We start from the raw sequence: 9,767 nt of genomic DNA, 5'->3' as shown, positions 1-9,767 counted from the left end.
AAATCATATTAAATCTAGCCCGCAGCCCAATTCCACATTACTATGAACGTCCAGCCCCTCCCCACCATTTCAGAGTCCACTTGACCGGTGCCCAGACTTCTCCCTCCTCATCCTCTCCCCACCTACTTGACTTCCTGCTTCCTCCGTCAGAACCCAGCCCCAGGTCCAATTTCCACAAAACTCCACTCTTTCAAGCATTTCCAGAAGTTACCGGAGTATGATGCTGCTGATGGGGAGCAGGTGCCGTCGGGGGTCATGCGACAGAACCCTGGCTATGTGTTTCTCGCTGGCTCCATCCGCTTGCCGCGCTCCCACTTCCGCCGACTCACTTCCTGAGCATCAGAGAAACCCTTCCCCTCCTCCGTGGCTCCTGTGCGGCCCCGGAGACCCAGCACCTTTTTGTGCCGTAGTTGGCTTACCTGTGCCCTTCCACAAAGACAGGTCATCCCTACAAAACACACCCATGCTAACTGCTGTGAAAATAAACATTTCTCAGCATTGTTCGTAGAGCAAAGTGCTTGATGACGTAAGATAGGAACCAACAGACACTGTTTGCCCCATTTTTTAGGTGAGGAAATGGCAACCTGGAAATTTTCAGAGACTTGCCCAAAGTCAGTCCTAGCCATCCAGGTTAGGCAGCTGGCCACACACGCTGCCCGGGGAAGCACAAAGATCCCAACCTTAGGCTGTTCCGGTCTCCAGGCTTTGGCCAGCCAGCCACATGACATCTCTGTCAATCCACTCTCCCTCGCTCCCGCTTCCCGGGTCCTGTGAATGTGTGGTTCTCAGTAGTCTCCGGCGTCCTCCTGGGATGTGACACATTGGCACATCTCCACCTGCCCCAGTCAAGCCTTCCCTTTGAAATCCTCCCACCTTTGACTCCATTCAGCAGCATTTCCTTTTGTTTTTGGAGAGACAGGGCCTCATTCTGTTACCCAGGCTGGAGTGCAGTGGCAAGCGCACCACCGCACTGGGCCACAGTCAGCAGCATTTTAAAGTAAAGATGTTCTGACCACACCCTTATCCCTACACGACTGACAAGGATCAACCAGGCCTCTTCTGGGAGAGGGAGGTGGGCATCATTTACATAACAATAACGTATTGAGTCCCTGTTGCGCCACTTGGAGACTTTCATAAGCACGTCAAACACAGCTTCTGCTGTCACGTAAAGAGAGCCTGTGTATTATTTAAGACGAAAGACTACACGTTCAGATCCCAGCTCTACTTACCAGCTGTGATTACTCTGTGCCTTAATTGTCCCATCAGTAAAATGGGGATAATGAAGATACGTATAGTACCCTCATAGGCTTGGTGTGAGAAGTCAATGTACATGAAGTGCTTAGACAGTGCCTGGCACAGAGGAAAGTGCTATGTAAATATTTGCTATCATTCTGGAGCTCACAGCCCTATTGGGGAAGCAAATCTGAAACAAACCATTAACGTTCGCAAATCTGGCCATGTATTAGAATTCCTCGTGGAGTTATTACAAACAGACTGTTGGACCCCTCCCCACACTTAATAACTCAGGCTCGCTAGGATAACACCCGGGAATCTGTATTTGTGAAATGCTCCCTGGGGCCATTCTGATTAGGCTGGTCTAAATGAAAGCCATCTTCTAATGCAAATGATCCTCCTTGTAGAACTGAGAGGACAGAAAGTCTTACCTAGCTCAGCAGAGCTAAATCAATGGGTGCTGGCTGGATGCTGGAAGTTGAGCGAGGAGTTAGCTACAACTCCCCTTCCTTCAGCATCAGCTCTCCTTCATCATCGGCCAAAGGCAGTCCACACAGTCTAGATAGGTGGAATCTGTCTCTTTTAAGAATGAATCAATAGAGGGGGGAAAACATCCTAGGACTTCTGAAAAGTGCTACAGCCACAGAGAAATGGAACACTACAAGAAAGCCTCAGGAGAAACGACTTGCTCTGAAAATTACTTTCCCCATTAAGCAGAAGGAAACTGTTAGGAACCACCTATAGGGTATCTCAGAAGATGTGGCCTCTGTGGAATAGGACCAAGGAGCTTCAGGTGACAATCTCAGACTCCAGGACAGCAGGCTGAGATGAAAAGGGTAGGCTGAGACAATAAAAGCCTGCAGGAAAGCTGAAATGCAGTTGCAAAGATGAAATCCACCTCTGAGGCACTAAAGACAGGGCTGACCAAGCAGCAAATCAAATTATGGAGGGTGTGGTGAGATAAATAGTGTCCCCCGCCCCCCTACCAAAATTTATGTCTACTAGAGCCTTGGGATGTGATCATATTTGAAAATAGGATCTTTGCAGATTCAATTTGTTAAATTAAGATGAGGCCATACTGAATGAGCTGAGTCCCAAGCCTAAAGACTTGTGTCCTTTTAGGAAGAGGAGAGGATACAGAGAGACACACAGAGAGGAGAAAGCCACATGGCAATGGAGGCAGAGATTGGAGTGATGCAACTACAAGTCAAGGAACACCAAGGACTTTCAAGAGCCACCAGGAGCTAGAAGAGGCAAAAATGATGCTCCCCAGAGGCTTCAAAGAGGCCATGGCCCTGCCAGCACCTTAAGTTCAGACTTCTGACCACCTGAACTAAATTTCTGTTGTTTGAAGCCACCCAGTCTGTAGTAATTTGTTACAGCAGCCCTAGAAAACTAATGAAGATTTCTAGGTCACAGTTCCAGTTAAAAAGGAGAAAAAAAATGGAATAAAAATGTTAAATTAATAGCCACAGAGGAGCCAGAGAAAAGATCTCAATGATTAGGCTGTCTGATCAAGCAGACAGGCCCCAAGTGGGTTTCCCTGGAGATGAGAGAAAGGATTAAAAACAAGTCCCCTGTTAGGCCTTTTGTGTCTGTAAATGGACTGTTGTAACAAAACATAAAAGAAATGAAGGGGCAAAATATTAACCTATTAGTACAAAGTTTTAGAAAGAAACCAGCACAAATCATACAGGAGCAATAATTCACACTTGAATAGAAGAAAACTTCCCAGACCTCCGAAGTTATACTTTCCCACATTAAACCAAAGTAGGACACCACTGAGGCCTGCCTGGGTACCCAGCTACAAGGATGACGCCTCAGGCTTCCACGTCTGCCGCAGGCTCACCACATTCCTGCTCACATTCTAGGCTTCAGCTACAGTGAATTACTCCAAGTTACCCAACCATGTTCCTTCATGCTCTTTCCCTTATCCTTACATCTTTTCCCAGAACTGGAATCACTTCCCCATCTCCCCTCTGTCCTGCCACAACCCCTGCTCACCCCCTCACCATCCTGAGACCACCCACTCACCCTCCAGGTCATAGTCAAGCACCTTGGCCTCCACAAAGCCTTCACCAAGGCTGTCCCTTCCTTTTCTTGTGCTCACTAGACCCTGGACACATTCCTATGAGCCTATTTCTTACACTGTGTTGTCATTTATATTTTTACATCTCTATTTGGCCTTCTAAACTGGAAGTTTCCAGAAGACAAGACTGCTGCCTTTTCCTGTCCTTGTTTCCGCTGCTTCCTGCACAGTACTCAGCCCTGTTTTACCCTTTAGGGATAAATTAGTGCCTAAATTTACCTAAGGTTAGCTAAATTTGCAAGTGTCAAACAAAAATATTTGGGACGTGAAAAAAATAATAGCTTCAACTATAGAAAAAAGAGAGCAAATTTAAAATTAATGTTTGTCCATTAACATAAACATCAAATCATTTTCATTAATTATTCACTTTAGTGTTTGTAAGAATGTCATTACAATTGAAAACAAATTGTAGGGTAGGTTTTCTCTCTGCAAGAATCCCTCATATGCATAATGATTGATGAGAAGTCATAGATAATCACAATGAATTACTTAAATGCAAATCATTTTAAAAGTAAAATGAGGGGGCAATGGGGAGATGTTGGTCAAAGGACACAAATTAGACAGGAAAATAAGTTCAAGAGACCTATTGTGCAGTATGGTGATTATAGTTAATAACAATGTATTGTGTACTTGAAAATTGCTAAAAGAGTAGATTTTAAATGTTCTCACCACAAAAAAATGATAAGTATGTGAGGTAATGCATATGTTAATTAGCTTGATTTAGCCATTCCACAGTGCATTCGTATTTCAAAGCATCACGTTGTACACCATAAATATATGTCATTTTTATTTGTTGTTTTGTGAAAGGGCCATGTATACAAAGTGATCCCAAAATGCAAAAGGAGCTGAGAAACCAAAGAACAAGGCAGACAAATCCAGTTTGCCTTTAGAGGGTGATTTACTGGGGAACTTACAGACAGAAGTGTGGTCTTGGATGGCCGTAAGACAGACAGATCTCTACGCTGTTATCCCCAGAGACCCAGGGCTTATATACCACAGGGAAAAGATACACGTGATCTATAAGGAATGTGCAGGACAATTAAAGTTGACCTTCTAGGAAAGGACAAAAATGCTGTGTGTATCATAGCCTTGAATTTGTGTGATAATATCAAGGCCGTCTTGACCTAAAGGCAGGATTTATGGTAAGCATATGCTCTTACACAGGAACAGGAGATAAAGTGGGAATCAGAGGCATTCCCAGACCTGGGGTTAATCGGAAGTCAACATGGCGGACTAGCATCTAAGATGGAGTTACTTTAGCCTCCATTTGTCAATTGAAAAAAAACATAAAATTAAAATTAAGGTAAAACTATCTTAAAGGCTTTCAAAATTTCCAAAAGAGAATGTCTAATGTGTGATGGTGGTGTCTTTCAATGTGTTTGATATGGTGAGTGCTGGGAGGTCCTAAGGCAGGAGAGCCTACGGCTTGAGGATCTTAAAGGGTTCTGACAGTTCTGGCACCTAATAGAGATTCAATAGATGGACATTGAGCGAATAAATAAACACAAACTTTGTTGCCTTCAGAACAAACAGCAGCCCCTGGGGTACCATCCATACAAAGAGAGCGTATGCCTAGCCCAGTGGGCTGTGGAAGACCAAGTGCCCCTCATGGTGTCTGGAGAGAATCTTCTCTCTGCTGTCCATGTTTCCATTTCTAGGACCATCAACTAGGGTCATGCTCTGGGCCTCCTACCAACCCTTTGTTCACTCTGAATTTTGATGAGGGGAAGGGAAAGTGGGCATTCCCAGTTCAGCACCTCCTTTCTTTCTTCTTAGAGACCCAGATTCCTATAGGAAGTATGCATTTGGGGCTGCCCTTCCTTAGGTGTTAAGTTTACAGGGGCATGCCCTCATGTGGGGAAGCCAGCAGTGGTCTAGCTGTGCCCTTGAGAAGTGGCTGGGACTTTCTGATGAAGGGCTCAATGCCTCCTCTGTTTCCATATTCCACACTTGGAGTGTGTGATTTCCTTACTGGTTCGTTGTGTGTGACGCTGCCCCTCAGATGACCAGCTTAGCTAAGTGATTTGCCTCAGCCTATGAAATATGAAAAAATATCAGTTCCAGGCTGAGACTTCAAGAGGCATCACACATTTCTGCTTACCCTTCAAGCACTTCTGCCACAGTCAATGGGAATAGCATGCACACGTATCCCCTGGTCCCAGAATCAGAGACATACAGGGCAGAGGGGAACCCTACCTGCAGCCTGAAGCTGAGCTGCCCTAGTGAATACAGACCAATGAGTAAGAAAAATATTTTTGCATGTGTCATAAGACACTAAGATTTGGGGGTTATGTGTTATGCAGCAAAAAAACCTAACCAAAGCATCATCCAACCTAATGACTAGAGGTAATATTTGTTCTCCATCTGCTGAACTGAAGCTGGGAAAGAGAGGTGTTATTTAGTAAGCCGCTCAAGTACTAACAACCTACAACATCACTATGGAAAGGTCTGTGCTTGGGAGACTCTTTGGACTCGATCATCCTCACACCATTTGTATACATCTTAGGGAGATCCTATGTCTGTAATGGGGAGCTTCCATACAGTGGGTGGAAATAAGATGATTCAGGAACATAATACTGTTTGCCAAATGGGGATTGGGAAAGGAATTCAAACCATCCTGCTACCTTGTTGAGCCATTTGGAAAAATGGGTCAGAACCAGAGATATTGGAGAGCACTTTCAAAGCTTCTAATTTTCTAAAGTTTTTCTTTCTCACCTTGGAATGTCTTCAGATGCTTGGATGGAGCTGTACTAAAAGTACGCTCTTACATGTCTGTTTTTCCTTCTGTGCTGGGAATTCTTTGAGGGTAGGGACTGTGTACCTTCTTCATCTGTATAACCTTGCTCTGGGCTGGATGGATAAATAATGGGAAGGCTCTGACTCTGGAGCGTGATGTGGGTACACGTTTCTGGTTTTGTAAGAGATGCCTCCCTGTCCTTAGCTTTCCCAGACTGTTGAAACTGCCTTTGCAAAATTATGACAGGAAGAGAAATCTCACATCGTTGACTCCATCTTGCTTCTGACCTCCAAGCTGTGCTTGGGCATTCCTGGGCAAAGGCCAAACTAACTTTGGGAGGAATTTATTTATAGTTGAAGGATGTAAGCAAAGATGGATAATAGCCCTTCCCCAAACTAAACTGCTTTGTAAAACTAATGTAAGGCTACAAGGTTAGGATAATGAGAGTGGCCTGAATTCTGCTAAGATGTAGGTGTAGTTAAATAACCAGTCATGGTTCCAGTGGTCACAAGATTTGTAACTTCCCCGATTACTCCTGTAGATAACATCACTATTGTAGAACCTAAGATTGGCTTTCTGAGATGTCTTTTCAGACTTTTGCATGTCTGAAGACCAGATGACTCCAGCTGGACTTGTGATCATGACTCACCTGGTCTTATGACCCCACCCAGAGGCGGACTCAGTGCACAAGGACCATTTTCCACATCCATATGATGCGTTACCAACCAGTAAGCAGCACCCATTCTGTATTCCCTGGCCCACCATACTATCCTTGAAAAGGGTAACCTCTGAGACTTCGGGGAGACTGATTTTAGTAACGACTTCCATTCTCCCATATGGGCTGGCCTCATGTCAACTAAACTCTTTCTTCACTGCAATGCCATGGTCTCAGTGAATTGGTTTTGTCTGTGCAGTGGGCAGGAAGAACCTGTGTGGTGATTACACTGTCACCATCAAATGAGAAGGCTGACAGGAGCACAGATCCCCAGCTTCCTGCATCTGCTAACTCCACAGGAGCTTTCTAGCTAAACAGATCAAGTTGAGCCTCTGAGGACCATGTCGACATTTCCTTAAAATGGTGAGGCACAGTGATGTGAAATGAATTGTTCTTCACGGGAAACACCCTGTTGGTGGTCACTGAAGCAGTGTTTCCACAGCTGGGATATGCACTTTTTCAAGGGCAAAAGAGGCATCAGGGCAAGTGACTATATTCTTGGGAATTTTATCTGTATCCTCACTAGCCCTGTGACTTTGGACATAAAACATAATCTCTTGGAGCCCTCATTTTCTCATTTCTTCCCTCATTTTCTCATTTCCTAAGTGGTCATTGTGCTGCCGGCCTCAGGGTACTTAAATACATGTAATAGATGCAAAATGTCTAGCTTGTAGTAGGTGCTCCTTAGAACCAAGGGTCTTAAAAAAAATGTTTTGGCAACAGCTGGACTTTTAGCTGAATGGGCTATTTATAATGTCTTTGGCCCATAAGCGTCAAAGGTAGTACTATTTTGTTTCGGTACACCTTGGATTTGCCTCATTTGAGGAAATGTGAAAGAGAGAAATGCTAACATCTGTCTATTTTAAGGACTTTTCAGAGCACGGCACATCTTTCAGTCGCATATGTGTTAGTTTGGCAAACTGGAAATGAAGTGTTAGCTTTGAACCTCAGTCCCAACTGGTGCTGACCCCATTCTTGCCCTTCCAGCCTTCTTGACTACCAGGGTGCTTCCCAAGTGGCCTGGGCCCTGGCCACGGTTCTTTCCCTGATGGACCACCTCTCTGGGCTGGCAGGTCACCCTTCTCTTCATCACAAATAACAAATCCTACACCTACCCTGTCTTCGAAGTGGCGCAAATATCATCTCCTACAGGAAGTCTTCTTTTCAGCCCCAGCATATTTGTTCTCTCTCCCATTCCTGCTGCAGTGCAGGGAGCTTTGGAGTTAGCACTGGGTTTACAATGTGGACTCACCTCTTACCAGCTCTGTGACCTGAAGCAAATGGCCTAACCTCTCTGCGCAGACATTTCCTCATGTAAAAATAGAATAAATCACTTAATTTGTAGGGCCGTTGTGAAGACTATATGACACAGATCTTTTTTTTTTGAGACAGAGTCTCACTCTTTCACCTAGGCTGGAGTGCAATGGCTTGATCTTGGCTCACTGCGACCTCCACCTCCCAGGTTCAAATGATTCTTCCGTCTCAGTCTCTGAAGTACCCAGGACTGCAGGTACACACACCACGCTGACTAGTTTTTGTATTTTTTAGTAGAAACTTGGTTTTCTACTAAAACGGGTTTTGCCATGTTGGCCAGGCTGTTCTTGAACTCCTGACCTCAGGTGATCCATCCGCCTCGGCCTCCCAAAGTGCTGGGATTATAGGCGTGAGGCACCATGCCTGGCCTTCTTTCTTCTTCCTTCCATTGGCCAGTATCACTGCATTCTCTGTCTTAGCTTGAATGCTCAGGTCTTTTGCAACAAGCTTGTAGCTTCTCATTCATTCATGAATTCATTCATTAATTCTTTCAAAAATATTAATTGAATACCTGTTTGCCAGGCACTGTCCCAGGCATCTGGATACACATGTGAATGAAGTAGTCAGAGACCCCCATCCTCACAGGATTTAACTTCAAGCTGGGAAGGCAGAAAATAAACAATAATCATAACAAATCACATTTTTTATGTGTGTTAGAAGATGTTAAGGGCTATGAAAAAAGGCGGAAGAGGAGAGGGGAGATTAGAAGTGTTGGGGGAAAACCAGGCTGCAGCAGTAAACAGGTGGCCAGGAAAATCTCATGGAGAAGGCGAGATTTAAGCACAAACTTGAAGGAAATGAGTACATTTCATCCATTTGTTGAATAAATGAATGAAGCAAGAAATAACTACACTTTATTTATGTTTAAGGTAAAATAGCTCAACAGCAAGAACTTGAAACTATAAGATTTCAGGCCAGCCATGGTGGCACACGCCTGTAATCCCAGGACTTTGGGAGGCCAAGGGAGGCAGACCACTTGAGGTCAGGAGTTCAAGACTAGCCTGGCCAACATGGCAAAACCCCGTCTGTACTAAAAATACAAAAATTAGCCGGGCATCGTGGTGCATACCTGTATTCCCACTACTCGGGAGGCGGAGCCATGAGAATTGCTTGAACTGGAGAGGCAGAGGTTGCAGTGAGCCTAGATCGCACCACTGCACTCTAGCCTAGGTGACAGAGTGAGACTCTATCTCAAAAAAATAAAGGAACTATAAGATTTCTACCAAACCCAGATCATATCCCATTAATAGAGGCAAGGAAAATCCTGAAAGTAATTGGTCCTAAAAGTCACATGCCGTTTATAAAGAGTCACACACTGCCAAGGGGGAAGGGGAGGGCTGAATCAACAGGGGAAGGCTTAATTAACTTCCTCGTGTAAATAATATTTACAAATTGCATCTGACAAGAGAAGTCTTTGTACAGTGAGTAACTCCTCCTGCGAATTCTCAAATGAGTTTGCCAGCTCTGACCTGCGTTGTGTGGGTGGCACTCGGGAAGACTCACAACTGAGAGACCGGCTGGGATTTAAAAAGTGCTCCTCCTTAAATGGGCACTGGATGGCAGATAAAGCAACTTTACTTATGTGGTGGCTGTGTCCCAGGTGACCTGCCCAATGGCCACCTGCATGACTGTAGAAAGAACCATTGACACGGCAGAAAGAACTCATAGGTCAATCTTCA

General features: G+C 44.7%; 1 annotated feature.

The window, feature by feature from the left end:
* Positions 6,767-6,836: an enhancer, noted in NCBI's record as "active region_8966". NCBI's record gives its function as "activates an Ori minimal core promoter by ATAC-STARR-seq in GM12878 lymphoblastoid cells {active_cell/tissue: GM12878}" and the evidence as "EXISTENCE:reporter gene assay evidence [ECO:0000049][PMID:35858748]".

The sequence above is a fragment of the Homo sapiens genome, chromosome 14 (genome assembly GCF_000001405.40).
Source record: "Homo sapiens chromosome 14, GRCh38.p14 Primary Assembly".
Lineage (NCBI taxonomy): Eukaryota > Metazoa > Chordata > Mammalia > Primates > Hominidae > Homo > Homo sapiens.
The sequence above is the reverse complement of the archived record's forward strand: the minus strand, read 5'-3'. Positions and strand labels throughout refer to the sequence as shown.